Source organism: Homo sapiens, chromosome 11, assembly GCF_000001405.40.
Source record: "Homo sapiens chromosome 11, GRCh38.p14 Primary Assembly".
Lineage (NCBI taxonomy): Eukaryota > Metazoa > Chordata > Mammalia > Primates > Hominidae > Homo > Homo sapiens.
The window spans coordinates 118,840,191-118,856,514 of NC_000011.10; the positions used below are offsets into that span (position 1 = coordinate 118,840,191).

The 16,324-nt window shown below is 45.6% G+C and overlaps 2 annotated features.

The window, feature by feature from the left end:
* Positions 1,302–1,351: an enhancer, noted in NCBI's record as "active region_5603". NCBI's record gives its function as "activates an Ori minimal core promoter by ATAC-STARR-seq in GM12878 lymphoblastoid cells {active_cell/tissue: GM12878}" and the evidence as "EXISTENCE:reporter gene assay evidence [ECO:0000049][PMID:35858748]".
* Positions 16,235–16,324: an enhancer, noted in NCBI's record as "active region_5604". NCBI's record gives its function as "activates an Ori minimal core promoter by ATAC-STARR-seq in GM12878 lymphoblastoid cells {active_cell/tissue: GM12878}" and the evidence as "EXISTENCE:reporter gene assay evidence [ECO:0000049][PMID:35858748]".

Below are 16,324 nucleotides of genomic sequence, written 5' to 3' on the forward strand. Positions count from 1 at the left end.
CAGAGCTTGCAGTGAGCCGAGATCGCGCCACTGCACTCCAGCCTGGGCGACAGAGCAAGATCCATCTCAAAAATAAATAAATAAATAAATAAATAAATAAATAAATAAATAAAATAAAAATTGCCAATGAGCATTATTGACTAGCATTCAAATAATCTAACATTGAGCTCTCCTAACACTATACAGAATCCCAGATTAAAATTCCCAATTTTTGTATTTACCAAAATTTGTTACTTCTTGGATCACCACTCATTGGATTTATATAAAGCAAACTGTGCATATAAACTCATTACTATTTATTTTACTTGCAGAAATGCCTGTGCTTAGCAGCAGACAGGGCCATGAGCACATACTTCTGACATGGCAGTGAAGGCGAATTGACAGGGATGGGTTCATGCTATGTTTTGGAGTGGGCAACACCATCAGGATATTACAACTCTTTTTTAAAAAAAGTTTTAATTGTTTAAATAAATTTTTAATTTTAATTTTTGTGGGTACATAGTAGGTGTATATATTTATGGGATACATGAGATGTTTTGATATAGGCATGCAATGATTATACAACCCATTTTAATAGTCTCAATGCGCTCCATCATCATTTTGTTGACACAGTAACAGTCTGAGCTAACAGGATGGGTATTAGAAACTAAGAAGGAACCGGGCGCAGTGGCTCACGCCTGTAATCCCAGCACTTTGGGAGGCCGAGGCAGGTGGATCACCTGAGGTCAGGAGTTCAAGACCAGCCTGACCAACATGGAGAAACCCCGTCTCTACTAAAAATACAAAATTAGCTGGGGTGGTGGCGCATGCCTATGATCCCAGTTACTCGGGAGGCTGAGGCAGGAGAATCGCTTGAACCCAGGAGGCGGAGGTTGCGGTGAGCCAAGATCGTGCCATTGCACCCAGCCTGGGCAAAAAGAGCGAAACGCCGTCTCAAAAAAAAAAAAAGAAAAGAAAAAGAAACTAAGAGGGAAATAAGGCCGGGCGTGGTGTCTCATGCTTGTAATCCCAGCACTTTCAGAGGCCAAGGAGGGTGGATCACTTGAGGCCAGGAATTCAAGACCAGTCTGGCTAACATGGTAAAACCGCATCTCTACCCAAAATACAAAAGTTAGCCAGGCTTGGTGGGACACGCCTGTAATCCTAACTACTCGGGAGGCTGAGGCAGGAGAATCACTTCAAACCAGGAGGTGGAGGTTACAGAGAGCTGAGATTATGCCACTGCATCCCATCCTGAGTGACAGAGACTCTGTCTGAAAAAAAGAAAGAAAGAAAGAAAAGAAACTAAGAGGGAAATGAGATTGGATAGTTGGGGTGGGTGAGGACTCTCAGAAAGGAGGGAGGGCTTCCCAGCAGAAGAGGCGTGTTTTCGTGCGTAAGAAGTGGCTGGGGAAAGCGAAAGCAGTGGGGGCACCCATGATGAGACTGGCTGGCTCTAGAAACATTAGTGGGATTTCACCCACACTTGCTTGGGTAACTTTCTGTTGTCATTGGGAAGCCAGTGGGACTTTCTCGTCCAAGATGAACCAGGGCCCATACACTTGCCACTTTCACTTGTTCCTAGAGGCTGTGTCATGTCTTGGCTGCCTCAGGGTGCAGGGACTATGCTCATATAGTAGGAAGGTAACGGCATACACAAATTAGGTGATTACAGGTCTCACACTTGTCAGTTGGCTCCATTCAATTTCATACTTGGTTCTTTCTCTTCCATGATCTCTATTTTGTTTCTTGAACAGACCAGGACTCTGTAAGCTGAAACGTTTGGTAAATTCCCTTCCTTGCCAGTTTACACTGACTTTGTACCCACAGTTCAAGGCTAAATCCCTTTTTGTCTGGGCTAGTGGTTGCCAAATCCCTTTTTGTCTGGGTTAGCCATTTCATGTAGAGACTGCTTCTCTACCTATACGCTTATTCAAATGCAGTAGTGAAACAAAATCAATGCACAGCCATACAATTACTACATAGCCTGTGTAAAGAATGATGCAGATCTATTTATATACAAATATGGTAAGCTCCATAATATATTATTAGATTTTTAAAAAGTAAGTCTCCAGACAACATTTATAGTAGTGTTTTGCGTGTGTGTGTTTATAATTGCATAGATATAGTTCTGGAAGGATACATGGTAAACTCAACTCTAACAAGTGTGTATATGACAGGAATGAAATAACTCTACTTTTTAGTTTGTTTTAAAAGTATTTTAATTTGCAAGCATCACTTCTATAATGTGAAACAAAAATTAAAAACCTCAAACCGTTGCTCTTCTTGGAGTCACTTGAATTGGTAGCCCTGAAGAAAATTCCTAAATTAGACTTTCTTCTGTTCTTGACTGAACGAGGATGAATGAGTCACCCAATCCTGTGCCAGGTACAGGAATAAATGCTGGACAGTTACAGATGAAAGAGAGCATGTTGCCCTTTAAGGACTTCAAAGTTTACAGAGAGACCAGAAAACAAGAAATTAAAGTACAGTATGATATATGCCACAGAGCTATACCTTGGAAAGAAAAAGGATGGACAGCACAGACTTTAAAGCAGTAACAGGAGGTGGGTAGGAAAGCCTTCCAGAGAAGGTAAGAATCGAGAGGAGTCTTTTATTTTCCCTGTTACTTTATTATTAAAAAATGTCAAACATAACTGAAAGGTTGAAACATCTGCAGATCCACCACCTAGATTCAACGATTGAACATTTTGTTGTATTCACTAGATATGTAATACAAATAAACAAATGCAAAGCCATTTGAAGTTTCACCCCTAAATATTTAAACCCCAACTCCTAAGAATGACATTATCTTACATAACCACAATGCCGTTATCAAACATAAAAATAACATTAAGGGCTGGGCATGGTGGCTCACGCCTGTAATCCCAGCATGGTGACTCAGGCCTATAATCCCAGCACTTTGGGAGGCTGAGGCAGTGGATCACCAGGTCAGGAGTTCGAGACCAGCCTGGCCAACACGGTGAAACTCCATCTCTACTAAAAATACAAAAAATTAGCCAGGTGTGGTGGCAGGCGCCTGTAATCCCAGATACTCGGGAGGCTGAGGCAGGAGAATCGCTTGAACCTGGGAGGTGGAGGTTGCAGTGAGCCAAGACTATGCCACTGCACTCCAGCATGGGAGACACAGCGAGACTCTGTCTCAAAAAAAAAAAAAGGCAAAAATGAACCCCCCCGATTAGCTGGGACAACAGGCATGCCCCAAAACACCCAGCTAATTTTTGTTTTTTAAGTAAAAATGAGGTTTCACCAAATTGGCCAGGCTGGTCTCAAACTTCTGACCTCGTGATCCACCCGCCTCAGCCTCCCAAAGTGCTGGGATTACAGGCGTGGGCCACCACACCTAGCCACAAGTATTATTCTCTAAATGTCATTGTGGTTAGATGTGGTGACAGAAGTGTTAGTGAGCTCTAGCTTGTCCTTGCTTTGCTCTGATCAGTGTCCAGAAATGCTTTCCAATTCCTGACCCTGTTGACCACCAGTGACCACCAGACACTTGGTGATGGATCCACAGAGGTGGCGGCTGCCCAGATGGCTCTCCAGGAGCCTTCTCATCACAGCCCCATGTCAGTGGCCAGATGCACTTCCCTCCCCACATTGGTGACTCCTCTTTTGATTCTCTGACTAACCTCTTGGTCTTTCCTTTCCCCAGCTTCTTCTACAATTGTGTAAAGCATAGTTCCCATAATAAATTCCTTATCTCATCATTCATGAAGGTTCTACCTCCCTGACTGATACACTTACTGGTACTGGCCGTGGTTTCAGGGGACAGATCATTAAGGATAGGAATTGGAAACTGGTTCTCTGACCTGATTAAACTTAAGTGCATTCATGATTGTTGCCAGCAGTAAACTTAAATTCTTAAACTCTACCTGTAATCACTTGTGATACATGCTTATAGACGGCAAAGCTTTGGGTAGCCAAATATTTGCTGCTGTAGAACATTTTAGTAGAAATAGGAATGTAATGAGGAATGTTGGTTGCTTCTACATATGGGGAAAGTTTGGAGAAAGAAAATGATGAGCTAAAGGCTTTAAATTTCCATCTCAAGTTCTGGAAAATGGACCAAAAAACTTGAAGACTGCCTTTAAAAAAAACTCTCATCTCTGATAGCCTCAAGGTCAAGATTTCTGATCACCAAACACTAAGTGTCCACTTGCAGCAGACTGAATTTCAACGCAAAGTGAATTCATAACCTACCAGGGTGTCTTATGTTCAAAATAAGACATTGATTGGAAAGGAGTAAGACCCTGAGTCTTAGGATACAGACATACGGATGGATTCCTATGAGGTCAAAGACCTTAAACCAAGCTTGACCAACCTGTGGCCCTGCAGGCTGCATGTGGCCCAGGATGGCTTTGAATGTGCCCAACACAAATTCATAAACTTTCTTTTTTTTTTTTTTTTTTTTGGACAGAGTCTCCCTCTGTCACCCAGGCTGGAGTGCAGTGGCACGATCTTGGCTCACTGCAACCTCTGCTTCTTAGGTGCAAGTGATTTTCCTGCCTCAGCCTCCTGAGTAGATGGGATTACAGGCACGCACCACCACACCCAGCTATTTTTTTTGTATTTTTAGTAGATATGGGGTTTCACCATGTTGGCCAGGCTGATCTCGAACTCCTGACCTCAGGTGATCACCCGCCTCAACCTCCCAAAGTCCTGGGATTATAGGCTTGAGCCACCACACTCGGCCATAAACTTTCATTATGAGCTTTGGCCAGGCGCAGTGGGTCACACCTGTAATCACAGCACTTTGGGAGGCCGAGGCGGGTGGATCACCTAAGGTCAGGAGTTCGAGACTAGCCTGGCCAACATGGTGAAACCCTCTCTCCACTAAAAATACAAAAATTAGCCAGGCGTGGTGGCGGTCGCCTGTGATCCCAGCTACTTGGGAGGCTGAGGCAGGAGAATCGCTTGAACCCGGGAGGCTGAGGTTGCAGTGAGCCAAGACAGCACCACTGCATTCCAGCCTGGGCAACAAGAGTAAAACTGTGCCTCAAAAGAAAAAACAAAAACAAAAAACAAAAACCACAACAACAACAATAAAAAACATTATGAGGTTTTTTGTGATCTTTTTCTTTCTTTTTCTTTTTCTTTTTTTTTTTTTAGCTCATCAGCTATTGTTAGTGTATTTTAAGTGTGGCCCAAGACAATTCTTTCAATGTGCCCCAGGGAAGCCAAAAGATTGGACACCCCTGCCTTAAACCCTAAATTCAGCTAACCCTCCTTAGCCAAAAAAAAGTGACCTTCTTCTCTATCTGCAGTTAATCTTCCCTTACCTAAAGAACCTGGGATGACCTCCCCAGAGCTAGTGGCCTTTCAGGGGACTGTGATCCTCCTAGGAACCTAACCCTTCCACCTCTTTTAGATCTGTAAGCTCAGAGATTCAAGTCATAGCAGGCCCCAGGGTGACTCATGAGGAAATACCATACAAACCAAAAGAATATTGAGAGTTTGTCAATGTATACATTGCTTCATGTTTTTTTTTTGACATAGTTTCATATTTACAGCAAAGTTATAAGAATAGTACAAACAATTCCTTTTATATTTTACCAAGATCCTCAAATGCTGATTTATACTGACTGAAACTCAGGGAATAGGTAGGGGAATAGATCTTGAAAGAGTGGGATCAGGATGGAAGAAATATAATTTTGGATTTGGATAAATTTATTTATGTATTTATTTATTATTTTTTGAGAGAGAGTTTCTCTCTGTTGCCCAGGCTGGAGTGCAGTGGCACAATCTTGGCTCACTGTAACCTCTGCTTCCTGGGTTCAAGTGATTTTCCTGCCTCAGCCTCCTGAGTAGATGGGATTACAGGCGCCTGCCACCATGCCCGGCTAAATTTTGTATTTTTAATAGAGATGGGGTTTCACCATGTTGGCCAGGCTGCTCTCAAACTCCTGACCTCAGGTGATCCACTCGCCTTGGCCTCCCAAAGTGCTGGGATTACAGGGTGAGCCACCACGCCTGGCCTGGATGAATTTATTAATAAGAATGCAAACCCTAAAAAGCCTTTATCAGCCAGGTGCAGTGGCTCACACTTGTGATCCCAACACTTTGGGAGGCTGAAGCAAGAGGATTGCTTGAGGCCAGGAGTTCGAGACCAGCCTGAGCAACATAGCAAGATCCCATCTCTACGAGAAAACAAAATAAAATAAAATAAACCTTTCTGGCTGGGGAGAGACTGCCCCTCCCTGGGCTAGCCAGTTCTTAGAGATAGCAAAGAGCTCAGCCAGAAGCATGTCTTTGATATGCAAATGAACCAGCCCCAGAGCCACACCCCCTCTATCTGTCCTACACACCCCCAGAGGCAAAATTCCTCCGCCCAGGGCCAGGTCCCAGTCAATTAGGGACCAACCTATACCCCAAAGCCACTGAAATTATTCAAACTAGTCAATACTAAAGGTTCAACCCCACCCTACCTTGCCTTTCCTTCAAAACCCCCCACCCCAAAGAGCAGTAGCCTAAACCTTCCCCACACTTCTGTCTTCTGCCCTTTGACCACCCTGTGTCTTTTCCTTGGGGCCCTGCATGCTTCCTGTCCCTAGGATCCAAGAGTACAATAAACTCTGTTTTCCTGAGCCTCTCCTGTCTCTTGTGGCCATAGCTTTTATGAGACTGGCCATCTCATTAAAGAATGCAAAGCAGCCAGGCACACACCTGGAATCCCAGCACTTTGGGAGGCCAAAGCAGGAGGAACACTTGAGGCCAGGAGTTTAATACCAGCAACATAGTGACACCCTCATCTCTATAAGAATATATTGTGGCGCACACCTGTAGTCCCAGCTACTCAGGAGGCTGAGGTAGAAGGATCGCCTGAGCCCAGGAGGTCAAGGCTGCAGTGAGAGTTAGGTTCATGCCATTCATTGCACTTCAGCCTGAGCAACAGAGAAAAATCCTGTCTCTAAAAAAAAAATAAAAATAAATAAATGTAAAAAAAAAATTTAAAGAAGCAAAATGTGTACTAAGCAGAGATTCTGAATTTAAGGTATCTGTTCAAGTTGTTTGGGAATGGCTTTAGAAGTTTGCTTTTTTTTTCCCCTTGGGACAGAGTCTCACTCTGTTGCCCAGGCTGGAAGGCAGTGGCAAGACCTCGGCTCACTGCAACCTCCATCTTCCAGGTTCAGGTGATTCTCCTGCCTCAGCCTCCCAAGTAGCTGGGATTACAGGCGCGCGCCACCACGCCCGGCTAATTTTTGTATTTTTAGTAGAGACGGGGTTTCACCATGTTGGCCAGGCTGGTCTCCAACTCCTGACCTCGTGATCCATCCCCCTCGGCCTCCCAAAGTGCTGGGATTACAGGCGTCAGCCACCGCACCCGGCTGACTTCTGACAATAAAGAGTAAGAGCCCTTCAATCAATTCTTAGATTAGAGACAGTCCCCAAACCCAGTCCCCTTGAATGAAGGAAAGATCCTTTGAGGAAGGATTTACTACACTGTCAAAAAGTTACACGGTAAATCTTCTTAGCATTTCCTCAAAGAGACCTGAAGCCATAACGCAGGGTGACTGTGCTTTGAGAAGGAGAAATGACCAGATACTTAGGAGTTAGTAAACCTCGGCTCTGAACTGGTGCTAATCCCCGGAGAACCAAAATGGCACTGTGTCCCATTGTCAGAGCAGAGGCTCATGGAAGTTAGATGATCTATGAAGTTTTGGCTTGGCTCCATCTCACAGCAAGCCCAGTAGTTCCCAGAACTCATCGCATCATTATTTCCCCAGTTCCAGAATGCACAGGTGGGTATACATTGCAGTTTAGATATATTCAGTAGGTGTATGAGTAGACATACTCAACAACATACTCTTTTTTTTTTTTTTTTTTTGAGACGGAGTCTCGCTCTGTCACCCAGGCTGGAGTGCAGTGGCGCAATCTCGGCTCACTGCAAACTCCGACTCCCGGGTTCATGCCGTTCTCCTGCCTCAGCTGCCCAAGTAGCTGGGACTACAGGTGCCCGCCACTACGCCCGGCTAATTTTTTGTATTTTTAGTAGAGATGGGGTTTCACTGCATTAGCCAGGGTGGTCTCGATCTCCTGACCTCGTGATCCACCTGCCTCAGCCTCCCAAAGTGCTGGGATTACAGGCATGAGCCACCGCGCCCGGCAACAACTGGTAGACTTCTTGTATTGGTTCTCTGACCCATGGCACGAAGGCTATCATGATAAAAAAGGCCAAGTGGAATCCACTAGAACTGTGTCTACATACTAAAATAGTAAACCAAAAACAGTATCACATTTCTGGAAGGCTTGATGAGATTAGTGCCACTAACAAGGTCTTGAAAGACACAGAGGTGGTAATTCCTACCATATCCCTGCTCAAATCACCTGTTTGCCTGTCAGCAGACTGAAGGACACAGGAGAATGAAAGTGGGTTATCCACAGCCTTGTAACTCCAATTGCAGCTGCTGTTCCAGGTATAATTTCATCGCTAAAGCAAATCAACACATCCCATGGCACTTGGTCGCTTTTTCTGTTGTGTTTTGTTTTTTGAGATAGCACCTTTCTGTGTCACCAGGACTGGAGTGCATTAGCACAATAGTTCACTGCAGTCTCCACCTCCTGAGTTCAAGTGATCTTCCCACCTCAGTCTCCCAAGCAGCTGTGACTCCAGGCACACAGTACAAGTTGTTGCTGCTTCTCGGCAGGATGCCTCAGTTCCTCACCACATGTTCCTCTCCTCAGACCAGATTATGACAGAGGTTAGAGAGTGCATGGAGCCCTGAGGTAGCGACATGAAGGTGTACTGCAGCCCTGCCAACTAAAAGAAAACTGCATCTGGTGGTCTTTTCTAAAAGGTATAGAGTAGAAAGCATTTCATAGATCAATTGCAAACCAAGTACCACGGTTGGCCAGGTACAGTGGCTCATGCCTGTAATCCAGCCTTTTGGGAAGCCAAGGCAGGAGGATCTCTTGAGCTCAGGAGTTCAAGACCAGCCTGAGCAACATGGCAAGACCCTGTCTGTACAAAATATTTTTTTTTTGAGACGGAGTTTCGCTCTCGTCGCCCAGGCTGGAGTACAATGGTATGATCTCGGCTCACTGCAACCTCCGCCTCCTGGGTTCAAGTGATTCTCCTGCCTCAGCCTCCCAAATAGTTGGGATAACAGGCACCTGCCACCACGCCCAGCTAATTTTTGTATTTTTAGTAGAGACATGTTTCACCATGTTGATCAGGCTGGTCTCAAACCCCTGACCTCATGATCCGCCCACCTCAGCCTCCCAAAGTGCTGGGATTACAGGCGTGAGCCACTGCGCCTGGCCAAAAATAATTTTTTTTTTAATTAGCCAGGTGTGATGTTGCATGACTATAGTCCCAGCTGCTTGGGAGGCTGAAATGGGAGAATCACTTGAGCCCAGGAGTTCAAGGTTTTGGTGAGCTGTGATTGAGCCACTGCACTCCAGCCCATCTCAAAAAAAAAAAAAAAAAAAAAAAAAGCTTTCACTTAAATATTTTTAGGAAATAAAAAAATGAGCTAGGCATGGTGGTGGGCGCCTATAGTCCCAGCTACTCAGGAGGCTGAGCAGGAGAATTGCTTGAACCTGGGAGGCGGAGGTTGCAGTGAGCCGAGATCGCGCCACTGCACTCCAGCCTGGGCGACAGAGTGAGACTCTGTCTCAAAAAACAGAATAAAATAATAATAAACTCATTGTGTGTCAACATAAATAACATACATAAATAACTTTTGCTAGTATCTGAATGTTGGCGTACTCCCCAAAATTCATATGTTGAAACCTAATCCCCAAGGTGATGATATTAAGAGGCGGGGTGTTTGGGAGGTAATTAGGTAATGAAGGTTCCACCCTTATCGAGGGATTAGTGCCTTTGTAAAAGAGGCTTGAAGGAGCTTCCTTGCTCCTCACACCTTGTGAGGACACAAAGAAGGAGCCATCTATGAGGAACAGGCTTTCACCAGACACCAAAATTGCTGACACCTTGATCATGGACTTCCCGATCTCCAGAATTGTGAAAAATAAATTTCTGTTGTTTATATATTACTCAGCCTAAGGTATTTTGTTATAGCAGCCCAAACATACTCAAACACTTTTATGAAACACAACTACATTTCAAAAGGAAAAAGAAGTTGGTGAGAAAAGAGCAGCTTTGTTTTACATTTTTACAAATCTTATTCATCTCTGGCTTCACAGAAGACAGCTGGATTCTCATAACTGGTGCTGCATGTAGTCTAGTGTGATATCAGTCATTCTGTAGCCTCTGGAACATTCCACATTTTGTGATAGAACAAGAGTGAAAATGGCATGTAAGCACTATAACAGTTCACAGATAATTTTTTATTATTATTATTTTGTTAAGATGGAGTCTTGCTCTGTTGCCAGGCTGGAGGGCAGTGGTACGATCTCAGCTCATTGCAGCCTCCGCCTCCCGGATTCAAGCAATTCTCCTGCCTCAGCCTCCTAAGAAGCTGGAATTACAGGTGTGAGCCACTGTGCCTGGCCTAATTTTTATATTTTTAGTACAGATGGGGTTTCACCATGTTGGCCAGGCTGGTCTTGAACTCCTGGCCTCAAGGGATCTGCCTGCCTTGGCCTCCCAAAGTGCTGGGCTTATAGGCATGAGCCACTGTGCTCAGTCCAAATTTTTTTTCTTTTCTTTTCTTTTTGAGACAGAGTTTCACTATTTTTGCCCAGGCTGGAATGCAGTGGCGCGATCTCGGCTCATCGCAATCTCTGCCTTCCAGGTTCAAGCAATTCTCCTGCCTCAGCCTCCCAAGTAGCTGGGATTACAGGCATCTGTCACCACACTCGGCTAATTTTTGTATTTTCAGTAGAGACGGGGTTTCATCATGTTAGTCAGGCTGGTCTTGAACTCCTGACTTCAGGTGATCTGCCTGCCTCGGCCTCTCGAAGTTCTGGGATTACAGGCGTTAACCACCATGCCCGGCTTATTTTCTTTTTTAAAAAAAATTTTTGGGACCGGGCGCGGTGGCTCACGCCTGTAATCCCAGTACTTTGGGAGGCCGAGGCGGGTGGATCACGAGATCAGGAGATCGAGACCATCCTGGCTGACGCAGTGAAACCCCGTCTCTACTAAAAATACAAAAAATTAGCCGGGCGTAGTGGCGGGCACCTATAGTCCCAGCTGCTCAGGAGGCTGAGGCAGGAGAATGGCATGAACCCGGGAGTTGGAGTTTGCAGTGAGCCGAGATTGCGCCACTGCACTCCAGCCTGGGCGACAGAGCGAGACTCCGTCTCAAAAAAAAAAAATTTTGGGGCTGGGTGCAGTGGTTCACGCCTGTAATCCCAGCACTTTGAGAGGCCAAGGCGGGTGTATCACCTGAGGTTGGGAGTTCGAGACCAGCCTGACCCACATGGGGAAACCCTGTCTCTACTAAAAATACAAAAATTAGCTGGGCATGGTGGCAGGTGCCTGTAATCCCAGCCACTGGGAGGCTGAGGCAGGAGAATCTCTTGAACCGGAAAGACAGAGGTTGCGTTGAGCTGAGATCGTGCCATTGCACTCCACCCTGGGCGACAGAACGAGACTCCGTCTCAATCAATCAATCAATCAATCAATGAAAATAGTTTAGATTTCACAGACCCGCTGAAAGGGTCTCTGGGACCTCTGATATTCCCAGACCACACTTTGGGGACCCCTGTTGTAGCATTATGCCAGAGGACTCTGCTTGGTCCTGTTCAGCATTCTCACTACCTGCTAGGACAAAATAATCAATGTTTACCACTTTGGCAGATGATGCAAACTGGGAAGGGAATTATTACAAAAGATGACAGAATTAAAACTTTTAATTATTTCAGCTGACCAGAATCAAACAGAATTAAATTGTATGTGGGATATCTTGCATTTACGTTTTGCTTTATTTTAAATTAGTTGCACGTGTACTAGAAGCATGGGATGGAAGGAACTGGCCAGATAGCAGTTTGTATGAAAAAGATCTGGTGGTTTAGGCCAACCACAAGCTAAATATGAACCAACAGCTTGTAACATAATGTCAAGAAGTGTAACCATTGAACTGGGACAGACGGGCTGAGGGTTACTTGGAGGAGGGGTGGGTAGAGGAGGGAGTAGTTACATTTTCTTTGCTCCAGCCATTCTCACATTTGCTCTGACTCTCTGAACACTGCTTGCCCCCAGCAGTTTGCTCTGTCAAGAGGCCTCTGTCCAGGGGTCTGCTTGCTTCTGTAAAACACTAGAGCTCAATCTCAGCATCACTTGCAGTCTTCTTCAACATCACCCTTTGGAACTTGGCATGGCCACCTGGGACTCAACTCTTCCTGGCCTGGCCCACAGGAAGAACGGGTCATGGCTTCTTCCTGCTTGTCGCCAAGACGGTGTCTTTGTGCCTTGTGAAATGATTCCATCCCTTCCCTCTTGGGTCAAGAGAGAAGTTCCTCCCAAGATCAGCAAGGATGGCCCCGACTGGCACACACTTCAAGAAGGTGATGATTTCTCCTATTCTGCTCCGGTCTAAGTCAGTCAAGAATGGCATTCTAATCTTGTTACCGGAAAGGGGTCCCGATCCAGACCCCAAGAGAGGGTTCTTGGACCATGCGCAAGAAAGAATTTGAGGCAAGTCCACAAAGTGAAAGTCCACAAAAAGAAAGCAAAGGAATAAAAGAATGGCTACTCCATAGGCAGAGCAGTGGCTTGAGCTGCTCGACCGAGGATACTTACTGTTACTTCTTGATTATATGCTAAGCAAGGGGTGGATTATTCATGAGTTTTCTGGGAAAAGAGTGGGCAATTCCCAGAACTGAGGGTTCCTCCCCTTTTTATTTTTTTAAATTTATTTTTATTTATTTATTTATTTTATTTATTTATTTATTTATTTATTTATTTATTTTTATACGGAGTCTCGCTCTGTCACCCAGGCCGGAGTGCAGTGGCGCGATCTCGGCTCACTGCAAGCTCCGCCTCCCAGGTTCACGCCATTCTCCTGCCTCAGCCTCCCAAGTAGCTGGGACTACAGGCGCTCGCCACCACAGGCTAATTTTTTGTATTTTTAGTAAAGACGAGGTTTCACCATGTTAGCCAGGATGGTCTCGATCTCCTGACCTCGTGATCAACCCGCCTCGGCCTCCCAAAGTGCCGGGATTACAGGCGTGAGCCACCGCGCCGGCCTCCTCCCCTTTCGAGACCATATAGGGTAACTTCCTGATGTTGCCATGGCATTTGTAACTGTCATGGCGCTGGTGGGTGTGTCTTTTAGCATGCTAATGCTTTATAATTAGCGTATAATGAGCAGTGAGGACAACCAGAGGTCACTCTTGTCACTATCTTGGTTTTGGTGGGTTTTGGCTGGCTTCTTCACTGCAACGTGTGTTTTTTGTTTGTTTGTTTGTTTGTTTGTTTTTGAGACAGAGTCTCTCCCTGTCGCCCAGGCTGGAGTGTTCACAGCAACCTCCGCCTCCCGGGTTCAAGCCATTCTCCTGGGTTCAAGTGATTCTCCTGCCTCAGCCTCCCGAGTAGCAAAAGGCGCACGCCACCATGCCCAGCTAATTTTTGGTATCTTTAGTAGCGATTTCACCATGTTGGCCAGGTCGAACTCCTGACCTCGTGATCCGCCCGCCTCGGCTTCCCAAAGTCCTGGGATTACAGGCGTGAGCCACCGCGCCCAGCCACCTGCAACATGTTTTATCAGCAAGGCCTTTATGACCCGTATCTTGTGCTGACCTCCTGTCTATTCCTGTGACTAGAATGCCTAGCCTCCTAGGAACGTAGTTCAGTAGGTCTGAGTCTCATTTTACCCAGCCCCTATTCAAGATGGAGTCGCTCTGGTTCAAACCCCTCTGACAGTCTGGGAAAATTACTCACTCCATTAATGACCTGAAAAAATTCCAGAGGATGATGGAGGCAGAGAATAGGCTCTGGAGTCAGGTGTAGGTACAAATCCCTTCTCTGTCACTTGCCAAATGCATGCCCACTGCACAAGTTACTTAAACTCTATGAACCTCAGTTTGCTCATTTCATTTATATAATGAAAGTAATATTGGGTATTATGAAGGCTGAGTGAGATAATTCATATCAAGTGCTTATCATAGTATCTGGCACATAATAATCATTTATTAAATATTAATTGTATAAATTGTATTTTGTCTCAATTTTTTTTTTTTTTTTTAGATAGAGTCTCTCTATGTTGCCAGGCTGGAGTGCAATGGCATGATCTTGGCTCATTGCAACCTCCGCCTCCTGGGTTCAAGCCATTCTCCTGCCTCAGCCGCCCGAGTAGCTGGGACTACAGGTGTGCGCCACCACACCCAGCTAATTTTTCTATTTTTGGTAGAGATGGGGTTTCACCATGTAGGCCAGGATGATCTTGATCTCTTGACCTCATGATCCACCCCTGACTCGGCCTCCCAAAGTGCTGGGATTACAGGTGTGTGCCACCTCACCCGGCCAATTTTTTTTTTTTTTTTAAGACTGAGTCTCACTCTGTTGCCCAGGCTGGAGTGCAATGGCGTGACCTTGGCTCACTGCAACCTCTGCCTCCAAGGTTCAAGCAATTCTCCTGCCTCAGCCTCCCAGGTAGCTGGGATTACAGGCACGCACCACCATGCCTGGCTGATTTTTTTTTTGGTATTTTTAGTAGAGACGGGGTTTCGCCATGTTGGCCAGGCTGGTCTCAAACTCCTGACCTCAGGTGATCCAGCCACCTCAGCCTCCCAAAGTGCTGGGATTACAGGCGTGAGCCACCATTCCTGGCCTGTATCAAAAATTTTAAAGGGAAACCTGATCCGAAGAGGCACCTTTCTGCCTACAACACAGGCCCTTTCATCAGCTGACCACAGGAGGGGTGCTCCATGGAGCCCCAGGGCCACAGGCATCTCCATTTCAGAAGAGGAGTTCTGCCCTACAGGTACATAACTAAAAGTCCCTTCCAGAGGGTTTTCCTAGAATGAAAATGGATTAACTTCAGCTTTGAAATGACAAATTTCATTTCCTCTCCATTCCTATAAAAGCTTCAAAGATTTCAGGGTCAATTTTCTGTTGGGGCTCAAGCTCCAAGGGTCTGTGTGTGTGCATCCCCTGGATTCCCCAAGAAGAAGAACCCGGCCCAAGACCTCCATGCAGCCAAGCCTGTCTCTACCAAAAGCCAAAGCTTGGGCGAGAATACAGATGGAGGCTCATAGACCATATACCTGATAGTTACAAGTTATAAAGAGACTATTAGACCAAATATGGTTTATCCTCCTGTGATATTCTGAAATATATATTTGGTCTTTATCACCATTTCCCAGCATACAACTCCTAAAATCCTGGGAATCTACAAAGTGCTGTGTTTTGTTTTTTGCTTTTTTGTTTTGCTTTTTCTTTTGTGAGACGGAGTCTCCCTCTGTTACCCAGGCTGGAGTGCAATGGCACAATCTCACTCAACGTCCACCTCCCGGATTCAGATGACTCTCCTGCCTCAGCCTCCCGAGTAACTGAGATTACAGGTGCCCGCCTGTCACCAACATGGTGAAATCCCGTCTCTACTAAAAATACAAAAATTAGCTGGGCGTGGTGGTGTGCCTGTAATCTCAGCTACTCGGGAAGCTGAGGCCGGAGAGTCCCTTGAACCTGGGAAGCGGAGGTTGCAGTGAGCCGAGATCACGCCACTGCACTCCAGTCTGGGTGACAAGAGCAAAACTCCATCTTGGAAAATAAAAAATAAAAAAAGAACTAGGAAGCCAGCTGGAATTTAGAATTCTTGGACTCCTCAGTTTCTCCTCGGAATGTGGAAGTGCAGAGAGGTCTGGCCTGTCACAGTCAAGTCCCGCTCTTCCATTCTGTAACCGCCCAAGGGGTTCACCTTGCCTGCTGCCAATTAATCAGAGCTCTTTTATGTATAAACATCACACACACACACAACACATATAAATACAGACAGACAGAAGATTCAGCACTTGTAAGATTTTTCATTTGCCAGTTTCTTAATTGGATTACTGAGAGTGATTTAATTTATACTTCAAAAAGATTACTCTTGGCCGGGCATGGTAGCTCATGACTGCAATCTCGGCACTTTGGGAGGCCGAGGAAGGAGCATCGCTTGAGACCAGGAGTTTGAGACTAGCCTGGCCAACATAGTGAGACCCTGTCTCAAAAAAAAAAAAAAAAAAAAAGATGACTCTGGCTGCTGTGAGCAGAAAGGATTGTGGGGTGCACAGTGGAAGCAGGGAGACTAGCTGGGAGGTAGGGGCAGCAGTCCCAGAGTGAGAGAATGATGGTCTGGACTAAGATCAGGGCTAAGATCAGGTCTGGACTAAGATCTCCCTGTGGCCAGGGAGAAAGTGCACGAATGGAGGCAGCATCTGCGGGACTTGCTGTTGGGTTCCATGTGGGCGAATATGAGGAAGAAAGAGATGTCAA